Below are 16,657 nucleotides of genomic sequence, written 5' to 3' on the forward strand. Positions count from 1 at the left end.
TGATTAAATGTTATGTGATATCCCCGATGGGATCCTGAAAAAGAAAAGAAGCATTAGACAAAGACTAAAGAAATCTATTGTTTTTAGCTTTAACAAAAAGTGGAGTTATAAGGCTACATCAGGTTTGACAAAACCGTGGAATGGGATGTAATTGGGCTTCTGATTTAAGCTTTCAGTGGAGATTGATATAGTCTTGTGAGCCAGGAAATTTTGTTTTCTTCCATGTTTCAACTCAGCTTTTTCTTGCATGTCTGTTTCAGCAGTCGTCAGGCTGACTTTCCAACCACGTGGTGGAAAATTACCAGTGACAGTTTCCAAATTTATATTTCCTCTGATTAACAGACCATTTGTTCATTCATTCATTCAGTCATTCATGTAAGAAACATTTTTGCTTGCCTACTATGTGCCAGGTACACTACCATGTTCTACTATGTTTTGAGGTTAAGATAAACCTGACATTATTCCGTCCTTGGAGTTTACTAGGTAATAGGAGAGAAAGACATTACTCTATTACTTAGACAAATAACTGTATTATTACAAATGAGAAAAGTGCCACGAAAAAAGAGTTCTGTGCATGATGACACTGTTCCCCAACCTAGTCTAGGGTATTAAGGAGGATTTCCTGAAGGAAGTGGCATGAAACTGAGACCTAAGCATAAATAGGAGTTACCCAGCCAATAGGGACAGGAGTTACCCAGTCAATGGAGACAGATGTGGTGAATGCCATTATACAAGAGTTTGGTGATGGGCCAAGGGAGACAGGGAGAAAGTTGACCTATTTATCCTGAGCCCATCCTGAATATCTAGTACAAAGTGGATTCAATATGTTTCTATTTATTTAATACAATGTATGCATTTGTGACTACTAAAGAACATGCAGTTTTTAAGTGTCCATGTAATATTTACAAAAATAGTTGATCAGGTACTTGACCACGTACAAAAACTTTAATCTCAACAAGATACCTTGGAAACCTAGACAACATTGATATTTCCTAGGAAAATACAAATTATTAACATAGAGTGAAGCAGTAGAAAACTTGAGTAGACTGAATACTCAAGAAGAGATTAGAAAAGTTATTAAAATGTGTTATTGAAAAAGTTAACAGGATTGAATAATTTGATAGCTGAACACTATTTAACCTTAAAGAATGGGCAATTCTGATGTGATTTAAACTATTTAAGACCAGGAAGAAGATAGACAAGTTCTCAATGTATTTGTAAAGCCAATCTTATTACTAAAACCCTATGAGGATACTGCAAAAAGATCAATGCTATCTACTAGATGCAAAAACACTCTAAATGTGATTTTAGCTTGAGCAATCTCAAAATATATTAACAGACCAATGCGCTATGGTCAAGTAGAGTTTATTGCAAAAATGCGAGGTTATATGGGTTTCAGGAAATCCAGCAATATATTCATTAAATCAACATATTAGAGCAGAAAAATAAACATAGCAATTGATGCTGAAAAGCCATTTTGATAAAAATCCAGCAGCTATTCTTAACAACTTTATGAAAAGATGTACATGAGGAGCCTTTTTAACTATGGGCCGGGCACAGTGGCTCATGCTTGTAATCCCAGCACTGTGGGAGGCCGGGGTGGGCGGACCAGTTGAGGTCAGGAGTTCAAGACCAGCCTGGCCACATGGTGAAATCCCATCTCTACTAAAAATACAAACATTAGCCAGGCATGGTGGTGCACACATGTAATCCCAGGTACTCAGGAGAGTGGGGTGGGAGGATCACTTGAACCCAGGAGCCAAGATCCAGCCATTGCATTCCAGCCAGGGCGACAGAGCGTGACTCCATCTCAAAAACAAAAACAAAAAACAAAAAACTGTGACAAAAACTACAAAAATAAGCAAACATTATTTTAAACAACAAAACACTAAAATCACTTCAATTATTATCAGGAATCAGATAAGAATGTTTGATCTTACCATTACTATTGTCTTAGAGGTTGTAGCAAATGCAGTGGGAAAAGGCAGTAAAATAATTTGTCAATGCCAGGTGTGGAGGGGCATGCCTGCCTATAGTCCCAGCTACTCAGAAAGCTGAGGCAGGAGGATCCTGTGAGCTGAGAAGTTTGAGTCCAGACTGGGCAACATAGCAAGACCCCATCTCTAAAATAAAATTTTAAAAATAACGATTTATATAAACATTGGAAAAGAAAGATTAAAACTCTATTTTTGTTGATAATATTATTGTATTCCTGAAAAACCCAACAGACTTAAGAAAAAAAGTATTTGAATTGATGAGATAATTTGATAAAATGGGGACATATAAAATATGCACATGTAATAATCAACAGCAAAAGTCCATCTAACATGGAAATGGAAAAAATTAATTCGTGGCGTAATACAATGCAAAGAAATCCTGTGTGAAGAAAACTAAAGTCCTGAGAACAAAACTCAAACAAATGGAACAGCATACTAAGTTCTAGAGGTATACTAAGTTTTTAGATCTGTAGACTGAAAATAATTTAAATGTTAGATCCCCCCAAATTCATTATATACATCAATATGTATATAACGTATATAATATTGATGTATATTATTACACAATATATTGCAATTCCAATTAGAAGCACACCATTTGCAAATAATATTAAGTGATCTTAAAGTTTATATAGAAAATTAAATGCCCAAGAATAAAATGTATGAAAAGAATAGTGAGTGTAGATATTAAAACACACTGCAAAGTCACTATAATCAAATACATAAGTCATTTACAGTTTTTGAAATAAATAAACATGTTAGAGTGATTGAATAGCAGACCTTCCAACTAGCTTCCAAAATATATGCAACTTTAATATATTATGAAGTTGCTATTTCAATTCAGGGTGAGAAGGAAGGTGCTGACTCTCCATCCAGGAGAAAATAGAAATGGGCACTTGTTTCTCAGAATATAGACAAATAAATTCCAGGGAACTGAAGACTTCAGTGTAAAAATAAATAAATGAATAGATAAATGAGTGAATGAATGAATTTTCAGAAGAAAGTCTGGGAGCCTATACATACAGTTTAGGGTTTGTAGAGACTTCTTAACCAAGAAAAGAAACCAAAATCTGTAGGAGATTGAAACGAGGTCAGTGAGAAATTATAGAGTTAAAAATACATTTGCATCACAGATGATAGATGAAAGTTAACATCTTTAAACACCAAGAGTTCTTTCTAATAAGCAACAAATAATATAAAGTAGACATAAGTGGATAATTTACCCAAAAGTATATACAATGGCCATAAACATATAGATGTCAAAATTATTAGTGCTTAAGGAAATGCAAATTTGTGTCCCTTTATAACCATATAACTAACAAAAAAATAATAGAATGATAACACTATCACTCTCTTTAGAGGTAAGAATGCAGAGGAAAAGGTGTTGTCATCCTTTGCAAATGAAATGTGAATTGTTAAAGCCATTTTTAAATTGCAGTATGGCTATATCTTCATTTTTCAAAATAAAAATTCACTACACTTGTGTGAACCAGTTTCATTCCTGGGAAGCTATTCTAAATAATAGAAATACATAATGATATAATTTCATAAGAACATATATATACAATGTTCATTATAACATTATTCATACAACTAAAATTCTGAAACATAAATAGGGAGATGTTTTAATCCATCTTTATCATAAAATATTATGCAGCCCTTAAAAAGAATAAATTACCGCAAAACCGTTCAGTTGGTTAGGATTTCCTTGATGTATTTACTGAGAAAAATCTAGGTGCAGAAAAATGTATAACACTGCATTTCTGTGACTAATATTAATAAACAATGACAAAACTATGTATATACATAGGTATTTGTATATGTATATTAGTGGGTGTATGTGTTTGTCTACAACATTAGGTTGTTAACATGGAGTACTTAGTATGGTTGGAAGGAGGGAGTAAGGGAGGGAAAGAAGAATGGGAGGAAGGAAGAAAAGGGAAGAGTTAGAGTTATAGAGTTAAAGCAAGGAAGGAAGGAGGAAAAGAAAGAAGGAAGAGAAGGAAGGAAAGGAGAAAGAAAGGAAGGAGGAAGGGAAGGGAAGGGGAAGGAAGGAAACAAAAGAAAGAAGAGGGAGGGAGGGAACAGAATTATTTTAAAAACGAGCATGTATGCTAAGGTCCCCTTTTATGTTCTCTTTGTGGAATATAAAATCTAAAAAGAACACCGGGCTGGCGCTAGGGGAGCTTTCAGCTCATTTTCATCAGACCTGACTTCCTACCTTTTTGTTCCTGTAGCTACTATCTCCCGCCAGCAATAATTTTCCACTGGGCACACTGGGAGAATTGTTTTCATCTTTCCAGCCTGTTAAATAAATACAGGAGCGCCATGTTCTTGAGCGCGCCATTTGCCAGGTTGTGTTCGTGCCACAGAAACGAAGAGGCCGCTGTACAGCCATTTTACCAGGCAGTTTAATATATCTGCCAGTTATTATACCAGCTTCATCATGTTAAAGTCCTTTAATGAATCAAAAAAAGAGCAATCTATACAATTGAACTTCTGAATTGCTGCATTTCCCTTAATGCCTGGAGTTTTAGCACATTAAGAAGGGAAGCAGGGATCTGTGACTGTAAAAGGCTTTATGTGATCACTTGTTACTGAGAATGCCAATAAAACCCTAAAACCAAATCTTCCAGACTTTTCGGGGGTCATGTAACTCACTTGGGAACTAAAGAGAGGCTGCAGGGAGTGCTGCTACTTCTCCAGGCTACTTTACCTTCAGTCAACCCTCTTCCCCTGATTTTCTCCCTCCTTGTTGGGCCATTATCTGCTAGGATTCCTTGACAAAAGTCTTATGATCTTTAAAGACCATCTCTCCTCACTGATACATCACATGGTTCGTTTAAATCCACTGTTACCTTAACTAACCATTAAAGCAAGTATAGCTTTTAAATGACCCTTGATACAGACCTTTGAGTGCAAATTCAGTGTTCTCCAAGCGAATGGGAGGGTAGGAGAGGTCTTAGGGCTCATTCCTTTCACTTCACGCGGAGTGCTGCAGCCTTTTCTTCAATAAATGCTCTCATATCAAACTCCCTCCTTGCTTGCCTTTACACTGAGATGAACTTTCTTTTGGTATTGGGAACAGAAAATGATTCATTTAATCACTTTGATACTTACCTAATGTGGAAAAGTGGAGGTTCAAGATGGAACATTTGAGAAGAAACCTTTCATAGTTTGTCCTCTAAAATAGAAACAGTCTTTTTGAGGTTTTGGGCTTCTCAGAAACTGTGCTTAGCGTGCCGCTCAGAACAGCTCTGTTCCTGTAGAGATGGGTGATTGTGGGAAAGTAATTTCTGGAAGAATGGCCACATTAAACAATAACAACAATAGACTCCCTGGTGAATTTTGCCACTTTGTGTGACCCCCTTCTTCATCTAAATTTCAGAGATGTTAATGCACCAATAAGAAGAACGGCTACCACAATTTTAATTTGCATGATGATGCTCTGAGCACAAGTTCTTTGAAAATAGCTGGATTTTGAGGTTGTGGTTTCCACCAGCACTCGTGTTCAGGAGTCCCTTTGCTGGAGCTTGGCGTGTGCCCTCGGATGTCCATTCTTGAGGACTCTGCCTTCCTTATGGGCTCCTTTTTTTGAGAATGCCCAATCATGCAAATGTTCAATATGGTTGGAAAGAGACATTCTTTAAAACTACTTTTGGCCTGGCTAAGGTATTGCCTGATGACTCGGAGGGAGGCACTGGGGTGGAGGCGGGGCTGGAAGAATGCTTTCTGTGACCTGGAAGCCCCATGTATGGAGGTCCTGGTTTTGTTCATCTGTCTACCCCCCAATCCCCTCAGCCCCGCTTATACCTGGTGCTCTGCTCTGAGATCCAGAAATAGTTTCTGAGCCTGCATACACATTTTCTCTCTATGAGCCTCCCAGTGTGGGAGCAAATTCATAATCAGACGGTTTCCCAGTGAGCACAGAACAGAATTAAATGAGGCAAGGGTGAGACGCCTGTGGCCTCTGTTTCCCCAGGGAGCTGCAAGGACAGGGAACCAGGCTCTGGAAGCCCATGGCCCAGGCAGGTCTCAGGCGGGCATTTCAACTTTCGCCTCTTGTCCTTTCCTGCGGTTCCAAGACTGACCATCTGCCCCTGTGGCAGAACATTCTTTGTGGTTTTATGGAACTAACTTCCCGTCATTCTGAACTGGGAGTCGTCCTGTCATTTCGAGGTAACTGCACTTTTTTGCTCAGCCCCCCGTGTGTGCCTCTCAAAGGTTTACTGCCTTTGCATGCTTAAGTATGAGGGGTGTCCTAGTGTCCCCCACCCCTACCCTGGTCAGTACTGGAATGCGTTCACTTGCTTCTCTTTTGTTCTCCTTGGTTAAATCTATTGATGATCAGATCACATTGAAGCTGTGTTCATTTAGCACATTCTCTTCTTCATTCACAGGGGGAATCTATAAAAACAAGATAGAGCACAAATAAGGATAAGCCCAGGCCCAAGTGGATTTCAGAAGAGGGTCTAGGAGGCAAGAGCAGGAAGATGCTCTCCATCTCCCCTCATTGCTTTATAAGAAACCACTTGCCAAATAGCCAGTGTCCCTTGGCAATTTATAAAAGTGATAAACCATTGCAATTCCTCCGGTTTAAAAAACATACCAGTCAGTAAGAAGCCACAGCTTTTCTATATGCTCACAGCTTCCTCCATGGGTGAGGGGATGGTCTTGGGCTGGGGTACCACAAAGGGGGTGGGAGCATCTGTCTGGGGCATGAGCAGGAAGGGTTCATTATTGCATCACCTGAGATCATTTAAAAACGTTAAGAACACCGACTAAACTTTGAACTGCCTTTTATTATCACTATGAGCTGGCAATTCTAAATAATTTAGTGATAAATCATTCTTCCGCAGTAAAATAGTTTATTGTCCTAAGTTGTGATGAATTACTGCAGTCACTGCTGAATTGTGAGAGAATACATGCAAACTTCATATTAGCACATTTTATTATTGATTATTTAATAAACACTTCAAAAGCCAACAAGGAGGTTAATTTAGAGAACCTCCTCCTCATAGTCAGTCCTTGACACAAGCAGACTCAGCTACATGGGTTTGTTTCAAGAGTAAGTAAGACTAAGAGTAAGTCAGAGTTTGGAATTATTCTGTTTTGCTGTGGGCATAATTCAATTCCAGTTTCCAATCCCTGTGATTTTTTAAAACTGTCAATTTGAAATAAACAGGGACAACATAGTGATTGTAAAGAGGAAGAACCAGAACTTGAGTTAATTGAATTCTATCATTTAATGTGATCACTTGGAACTTTTATTTTTGCTTAAAGTTTAGAACTGTGAAGGATATTGAGAAGGCACTTCACACCCACCGAGAGGCTCTAATCCAGAAGACTGACAATAACACGAGTTGGGGCGGATTTGGAGAAAGTTGAATCCTCACACATTGCTGGAGGGGGTGTAAAATAATGCAGCCACTTTGGAAAATAGTTTGGCGGTTCTTTAAAACGTTAAGCAAAAATGTACCATATGGTCCAGCCATTCCACTCCTAGGTATCCACCCAAGAGAAATTAAAACCCACCCTTGGAATCACTCTCAGTCATTTCTGCTATATTCTATTGTTAAGCAAGTCTCTAAATAAAGCCCACACTTAAGGGAAGGAAAATTAAGCTCCACCTCTTGAAGAGAGAGCATCAAATAATTTTTGGACGTATTTTTAAAACACCACTTCCTCTTAACCATTAAGTTTTTTTCTACATTTTTTTAGCAGGGGAGATTTTTATGGCTGGAAAGATGAGAATGCTATAAATAAGAAATAATTTTCCCTTCCTTTTGTCTTCTATTGACATTATATCATGTCAGGTAGAAGCCTATTCCTTCCTTCTGTTTATTCTTGCATAAATATGGCTTTTAAAAGTCTAATTTTATTATTTAAAAAATGTTTTGCATCCTCAGAACGTCTCTGAAAACCTCAATGCATTTTTGGGCTTCAGGCATCCTGAGGTCACTCTTAGAGGCTATGCCCATCTTTTGCATTTGTACTTGGTATTCTGCCCAATTTTCAAGAAAGAAGACATAATTTAGTGCCATTAGATATTACTGTCAGGGACCCCAAAATGCTGAAATCTTGATCACCTCTTCTCAGTCCTTCCCACTAGGCTCTGAAGAATCTCTATGCACAAGAACAATAGCAGAATGGAGTCAAAAGACATCTCTATTAATAGCTGTGCAAATGTCAGAGAACTGCAGTAAAAGGCAAGTAGTCTTTCACTCCTCAGCTTGCATGGGCCAGAGGGCTGGGATGGCAGATTCATCTGTACATGAGGCTTTACTCACTGGCCCAGCTGTGTGCCCACAGGAGCTACACTATGTGTGACACCTGGCAATGCTGTGCTAATAATGTGCTGTGCAAACAATGCCATGAACCCCAGTGAATCACCTTAGCATCTTCTCTCTCCCAGTGGGGTGCTGGGGAGGGCAGAAGTTGCATGGCTGAACAAGAAGTGGAAGATGTCCCTGCAAATGTGCCCCGTCACCTTTTTAGGGCCGGCGCTCATCAGAAGTCATGCTGTGCAGGCTCCTGGCCCTTAATGTTTTCTTCATGATGGAGATTCTTTGCAATTATATTCCTCATTTCACTCTCTAGAAGATCCATTCAGCCTAATTCTGCCCTGGGTCTTCCTGAGTTCCACTCTGGGTGGTTCATCTCATTGTCCTGCCATAGAGGAGCCCTCCTCACTAAAGTCAGCAAACAAGTAAATACCACATTGCCTGGAGTTCAGTCCCAGTTGAGTGATGATTTCAGGGAAGTCTCTCATCCTTTCTGTGCCTCAATTTACTCTTTTAAAAAATACAAATAGTATGGACTTGTGAGGACTGATACATAAATTGTATATAATATCAAATTATATGGATATATGTGTGTACATATACATGTGTATATGTATATGTCTATATATAGATAGGAAAATTCCCTGGTATATAGCAGGTATTAGTTCTCATGCTGCTAATAAAGACATAACCAAGACTGGGTAATTTATAAAGGGAAGAGGTTTAATTGACTCACAGTTCAGCAGGGCTGGGGAGGCCTCAGGAAACTTACAATCATGGTAAATCACATGGCGGCAGGAAGGGGAAGAATGAAGAATGAAGAAAAGCGCGGAGAAAATGCGGGCAAAAGCCCCTCACAAAACCATCAGCTCTCATGAGAACTCACTCCCTATCACGAGAACAGCACAGGGAAACCACCCCCATGATTCAATCACCTCCCACGAGTTCCCTCCCCCAACACATGGGGATTACAATTACAATTACAATTCAAGATGAGATTTGGGTGGGGACACAGAGCCAGAGCATGTCAGCATGGAATTGTTGCTGTCTGCTCACTTTTTCCTTAATGGAGATTTTGTTCCATGTATGGTAGGTAATGATCTGAGGCAGGAAGACAAAGAGCAGATAGCATTCAGGGCCTCAAAAGATTCCCCTAATGTGTACAAACATACTAGATCTGAAGTTCTGGTTCACCATGGTTCTTCCTCATTAAGCCGCAGATTTCCACTTGGAAAATTCATTGGTAAAGTGCCATGCCTGCTTGCTGCTGATAGGATTTTCTTATTGTCCAGCAGTATGCAAGTATTCAGCCCTCAGTCTCTCAGAAGAGGGGTCTGAATTCCCTTGTTCCGGGGTTGTGACCTTAACCTTGTCCTGAGATTTATAGCCCCAGAGAGGCTCTCCTCCTGATTTACATAGTTCCTGATGTCACTTTGAGCAGTTTAGTTCCAATCTCTGCAGAACATCTTGACTATGGAATGTGGGAACACGACGAGCTGTTTGTTTTATACTCCCAAATCCTTGAACAAAAGTTACAGAGTGTTTTTCTATCTTCTCAGAGGAAGAAGGCCCCTCTCCCATTCCCATTCAGTTCTACCAAGCAGCAGCTGTTGCTGTGTGTACTGTGTTTAAAATCCCTTTGTTTTATGCAAAAGTATTCTGCTTGATGCCTGCTTTGCAATAATCTGAGCCCTGTACAGTAATCTAGTTATGAGGACTAGAGGACTTAAAAGTATGAACTTTGAGATGTATGGGGAAGATTAGGACAGCCACAAGCCTTCTGAAAATTGAGCAATGCAGTCAAATAATGGCTGTATTTTGTTTGAAATGCTGCATAGCTGGTTTGATGTTTGCATTGGGTTGGCTGATGTCTTTTGTGTTGTGTGCATACCCTAGTGGGCTTATACTGGAATCCCTGAAAACTGGCAGAAAACGAAATAAAAATGTGCCCTCCTTTGCCATTTCCAATTTCTTTTGAGTTGGGCATTCTGTTTTTTGTGGTTCTAGAAGAGAAACATGGTTCTGGAACCTGTGGTTCTTTTGTGTGCCGCCCCAGGCTCAGCCTCACAGACAGAGGCTCCAGCAGGGGCCGGTGATGGATGATGGTGTTTCCCGCTAGTGGCTGCTCTTTAGAGAACATATTTAATTTCGGATGACTGGATAGTGTATTTCTCCCAAGTGATTTTGAATTGCCCATCTCCAGGAAAGACAGGACTCTTTATCTGTGGCTTCTAACTACTCATCGTAGGATTGATTATTAGGCCTGTTTCCTCTTACTTTAATATGTAGATGAGGTAGCAACAGAGAAATTGGAGGACCACAAGGAAAACCAAGCAATAGCACAAAAATCCAGTTGTTCTATATTTTGGTCCAGTGCACCCTGGTTGGGTGCTTCCTCATACAACATCTTCAGCTTGTGTCTGTTTAGAGATGTGCTCCCTTCTCCCTGGGCTCTCACCTCTGTCAGGTGATGTGGGCATTCTCTGAGGTCTTCCTTGGGCAGGAAGTTTCTGACAAAGCTGAGCATTACGGTATTCACTCAAAGTGTATACCACACACAATCTTGGGCATTTCTTCAGTAAATGCTTGATGGGCTTGGAAATCTGAAACACAAAGGCATTAGGGATTCTTCCACAAGAAAAGGTGGGATTTGGGGAATCCGGAAGAATACAAGAAGAGGAACATGAGAAGGGAATACGAGAAGAGGAACAAGGTGAAGGAAGGGTCATGTCAGCAAGGCTGCCAGGAAGAGCTCTTCTGAATTCAAGACAAATTTCTCCTCCCCAGACTGTCCTGGAAATGCGCAGCTCCCCACCCTCCCAGGAGAAGGAGGGACCTGTGCAGGCAGAAATGCTTCTGCCCAGCCTAATCATCTTAGAAGACAAGGTCAGGTCGACTCTCAGGTTTAGGCTTTTGTATGTGGTCGTATAATTTCAGGCTGTTCATTGTTCCAAAAATAGCTCCCACCTACCTGCTGATGCCTGAAATCCATGTAACAGGAGACAAAGCCTCTGATTCCCAATAAAGAGATAAAAGGCTTAATTATGCAAATATGTAGTGAAATAGTTCTGTCTGAAACTCATTCATATTAAAATGTCATCAGTCAGCGTTTCAGCAGGTGGGATGACTGATACACACAGAAACGGGGTTCTGGAACAGGGTGGTACTAAAGAGAAACTTGCTCTACCTTGCTGGGAGGACAAGGTCCCAGCAAGGGAAGGCAGTGAAGCCACAAGTACTACCCACTTTTGCAGGGCTGGTGGTGGCTGGCTTTCCGACTATGCCTGTGGGAAACCAGGGGGTGGTGTTTCCTATGAGGTAACCGGATTTAGGGAAATGAATCAACGCAAGTCCATTGTGTGATTATCTTCTGGAATCAGAGGGTCCAGCCACACCCTATAGATAAGTAGATGGAAGTAGCTCTTCTCCCAAGGTGAAGTGATACATTTTTCCTGCCATCACATTCTATGTTTCTCATATTATGAAGACGTGGGGGAACTCTGCCTTAGAGTGAGGTGGGCTTGGGATCACTGGGGCCCTTGCTTCAAGGTGAAGTGCTCACTCCTTCTCAGCATGGAGGATGAGCTGATAGAGGGGATGGCAGGACAGGCCGGATAGATAAGAGCCTCCAAAGCCAGGTTTGGGTGAATGGGCTCGAAGAGGGGCCACCTTTATTAGCAGCTTTAAGTTATGCTCCACTTCTAACACGCTTCTAGTGTGTTAGTTGAGTCTTATTAGCAGTGACGGCCTAGTCTCAGGTGTGCTGTGGGGATTTAACATACCTACCTACTCAGACCAGCTCCACAGAGAGATGTCAAGGGGAGAATCAGGTCTCCTCTCAAAGCCTGGTCGGTGTTGAGAGAGCAGAAGGGAGATATGCCCAGCAGGCAGTGAGCTGACAGGGTCATTGGCAGCAGGGGCAGTGGTGACGGGGTGGGTGATGAGGACAACAAAGCTGATCCACAGGGCCTGCTCCTGGGCACACGAGAAGTGCTCATATGAGAACTCTCTGAAGTATCTGGTGGCCATTGGGACATGCCAATTTCTGGAAATCAGGACAACCAATGACTTCCCCATTATCATTAGGCATAACAATTAAATGGAGTGGCCTGGGACATGTGGTGTTCTCACATCTGTGCATCCCTTGCTGGCCCTGCTTTCTGACTGCCCGGGAAGATGTAGCCGTCCTTTATCAGCAAGGACAGTTCTCAGAGGACGCATGTGTCTAAGTTGCTGAACTTCTTTTTCTTCACAAGACATAGGTGATCAGCAAATCGATTAATTGATAATTCCCACCAGTGTAGTTTTAGCAATTTGAGTGGAGTGGAAGGAAATGAAAACTCTGACAGGGTGTAGTTTTGAATCGGATCTCTGTAGGGTGTTTCCTCACCATCTTACCCAAAACTGCAACTCTCCCATTGCCCATCTCTTTCCTTTTGTTTTTGTTTTCCTATAGAGCTTACCTGGACAATTATTTATTTAGGTTTTTTTTGGCTGCTTTCTCCACTAGATCATAAGCTCCATGAGGACAGGGAATTTTGTCTGTTTTATTCCCTCATTTTATTCATCTTTTTATTCACTGAATGCCTAAGATAAGTATCTAGCACACAATGAGTGCTTCATACGTGTTTATTGAATGCGTGAAGGAAGCAAATGTTCCTGTTTGTTGTAAACAGGTGTTCAGCATGTGCTAGTTTCAGAAACAATCACAGTTAACTTTTTAGAAGACCAGCTTTGTGTTAGTCCATTCTTGTGTTGCCATAAAGAAATATCTGAGACGGGGTAATTTCTAAAGGAAACAGGTCGGATTGGCTCACAATTCTGCAGGCTATACAGGAAGTGTGGTGCTGACATCTGCTCAGCTTTTGGTGACGGCCACAGGAAGCGTCCAATCACGGAAGAAAGTATAGGGCAAGCTGCGTATCACATGGCAAGAGTGGAAGCAAGAGAGAGGGAGCAAGACAGAAAGACAGGGGAGGTGCCATACACTTTTAAACAACCAGATCTGATGTGAACTCAGAGTGAGAGCTCGCTTATTACTGTGAGGAGGGTGCCAAGCCAAACACTTATCCCCAGGCCCTACTTCCAACCCTGGGGATTACATTTCAACATGAGATTTGGAGGGGACGGACAAATATCCAAACCATATCAAGCTATTTCTCCATCTTCTGTACGATGGGGAGGGTCAAAGCAGTCAAAATCGAAAATAGAAGTGATTTTGTTAGCTTTAGAGTACTCTTCACAGTGTCCCTGGCTTATGGCTTCCTTTCCATGGCTTCTATCATTTTAAAACAATTTTTTTATTGGTGCATAATAATTGTACCTATTTATGGGGTATATGTGATTTTTGTTTTGTTTTGTTTTGTTTTGTTTTTGAGATGGAGTCTTGCTCTGTCACCCAGTCTGGAGTGCAGTGGCGCAATCTCGGCTCACTGCAACTTCTGCCTCCTGGGTTCAAGCAATTCTCCTGTCTCAGCCTCCTGAGTAGCTGGGATTACAGGTGTCCGCCACCATACCCGGCTAATTTTTGTATTTTTAGTAGAGACAGGGTTTCACCATGTTGGCCAGGCTGGTCTCGAACTCCTGACCTCAAGTGATCTGCCCACCTCGGCCTCCCAAAGTGCTGGGATTACAGGCAGGAGCCACCGCTCCTGTCCTATATGTGATATTTTAAAACCTGTATACAATGTGCAATGATCAAATAAGGATAATTAGCATATCCATCACCTCAAACATTTATCACTTCTTTGTGTTAGAGACATTCCAAATCTTCTCTTCCAGCTATTTTGAAATATACTATAAAATCTTGTTAACTACAGTCACCCTACTGTGCTATTGAACACTAGAACTTATTCTATCTAACTGTGTTTTTTTACCCATTAACCAATCTCTCTTTATCTCTCCCTCCCTCCACACCCTTCCTAGCCTCTGGCAACCACCATTCTACTCTCTACCTCCATGAGATTCACTGTTTAGCTCCCACATATGAGTGAGGACATGCGATATTTGTCTTCCCGTCATCAGGGAAATGCAAATCAAAACCACAATGAGATATCATCTCACCCCAGTGAAAATGGCTATTATCAAAAAGAAAATAACAAATGCTGTCAAGGATGCTGAGAAAGACGAATGCTCATACACTGTTAGTAGGGATGTAAATTAGTCCAGCAACCATTGCAAACAATATGGAGGTTCCTCAAAAAACTAAAAATATACCTACCATATGATCTATCAATCGCTGGGTATATATCTGAAGGAAATAAAATCAGCATATTGAGGAGATATCTGTACCCCCATTTTTATTGCAGCACTATTCACAATATTCAAGATATGGAATCAACATAAGTGTCTGTCAGTGGATTACTAGATAAAGAAAATGTATATATAGGCAACAGAATCCTATTCAGGCACAAAAAGAATGAAATCTTGACATTTGCAACTTCTATCATTGTTATGTCCTGTTTAACAAACTGGTTCATTTTAACAAACGCTTATAGAATGATGCAGCAGAAAAGGTCCTAACAGATGAAGTTTCCAAGTTAATTGAGGCATGATCCATGCCCTTAAAAGTCTATAGCCTAGCGGGAGAGTTAGGCTATCAGTGACCTATGACCCACCAGATAGGGAGGTCAATGTAGTCACTGGGGACATGAAGGGGTGGCTGGGCATCACTGGATCATTAAGTACATGGTCAGGAATGACACCACTTAAGTGAGTAAAGTGATATACCCCCAGCCTTGGGCACTGATCATTTCCTTGGGTTTCAGACCTTATATTAGTTAGGGTTCTCTAGAGAAACAGAACAAATAGGAGATATATGTGGAGATTTACTATGAGGAATTAGCTGACATGATTTTGGAGATGGAGAAGTCCCATGACCTGCTGTCACCAAGCTGGAGATCCAAGAAAGCTGCGGTTGTAATTTGGTCTGAGTCTGGAAGCCCGTGGAAAGCCAGTGATGTAGATCCCAGTCTGAGGCAGGAGAAGATGGCATGAGACATCCCAGCTCAAGTAGTGAGTGAGGAAAAAATGGGCAAATTTCTCCTTCCTCTGCCTTTGTTTTATTAGGGCCCTCAGTGGTTTGCAAGTTGCTCAACCACATTGGGGAGAGTAATTTACAATTGACCCTTGAACAATGTGGAAATTGGAGGCATCCACACCCCTGCACAGTTGAAAATTTGCATGTAGACTCCTCCAGAACTGAACTACTAACAGCCTACCATTGATCGGAAGCTTTACCAATAACATAAATGGACAATCAACAAATATTTTGTATTATATGTATATACTGTATTCTTAAAATAAAGTAAGCTAGAGAAAAGAAAATGTTAAGAAAATCATAAGGAAGAGAAAATATATCTGCTATTCATTTAGTGGTGATGGATCATCATAAAAGTCTTCATCCTCACCACCTCCACATTGAGTAGACTGAGGAGGAGGAGGAGGGTTTGGTCTTGCTGTCTCAGGGGTGACAGAGGTGGAAGAAGTGGAGAAGGTGCAAGAGGAGGTAAGAGAGACTGGCACACTCAATGTAACTTTATGAAAATACATAATGACTTCTGTTTGACTTTTTTTTTGCTTTTTCACTTCTCTAAAAATGTTTCTATATGGTATCAATCCTTCTTCCACCATTTGCTTTAGTTTCAGTGACCATTTCACAGAAAGGTCCATCTTGCAAAAGAAGTCAAAAGCAGTCTTAAATAAGCAGAACTCTGCTAGGTTGTCTGTATGCATTTGTTTTCTGTTGCTGCTTCTATGTCTCCTTCCTCATCAGCTGGCTTGGAAGCACTCATCTCCATCAAGTCATCTTCTGTTAATTCCTCTCATGTGGTGTCTGTTAGCTCTTGAACTAATCCAAGATTTTGAAACCCTTCACCCCCCCCACTTTTTTTTTTTTGGCCATATTCTCAATCTCTTTCATGATTTTCTTGATTGGCTCTGTCATAAACGCGGTGAAGTCATGCACAACATCTGGACACTGTTTTCTCCAACAGGAATTCATTGTTTTGAGCTTGATGTATTTCATGGCCTTTTCTGGAACAACAAAAACATCTTAAATGGTGTAATACTTCCAGATTTTCATGATGTTCTCTCTAGAGGGGTTTTCTTATATAGCATTGATGATCCTTTCATATAGTACCATGTTTAATGAGCCTTAAAGGTCCTTATGACCCCCTGATCTAGAGGCTGAATTAGAGACATTGTGTTTGGGGGCAAGTAGACAAATTTTGATGCCTTCAGTGTCGAACTCATTGTGGTTCTGGGTGGCCAGGGGCATTGTCTAATATCAAAAGAACTTTAAATGGCAATCCCTTACTGGTAAGTTACTTCTGACTTCAAGACAAAGCATTAGTGGTACCAATCCAGTAAAAGAGT

The 16,657-nt window shown here is 40.7% G+C and overlaps 1 annotated feature.

The window, feature by feature from the left end:
- Nucleotides 11,111–11,667: an enhancer, noted in NCBI's record as "OCT4-NANOG hESC enhancer chr13:33666443-33666999 (GRCh37/hg19 assembly coordinates)". NCBI's record gives its function as "activates a minimal SCP1, AML or CMV promoter by ChIP-STARR-seq in naive H9 embryonic stem cells {active_cell/tissue: H9 hESC(naive)}" and the evidence as "EXISTENCE:reporter gene assay evidence [ECO:0000049][PMID:30033119]".

This window comes from Homo sapiens, chromosome 13, assembly GCF_000001405.40.
Source record: "Homo sapiens chromosome 13, GRCh38.p14 Primary Assembly".
NCBI classification, from domain to species: domain Eukaryota; kingdom Metazoa; phylum Chordata; class Mammalia; order Primates; family Hominidae; genus Homo; species Homo sapiens.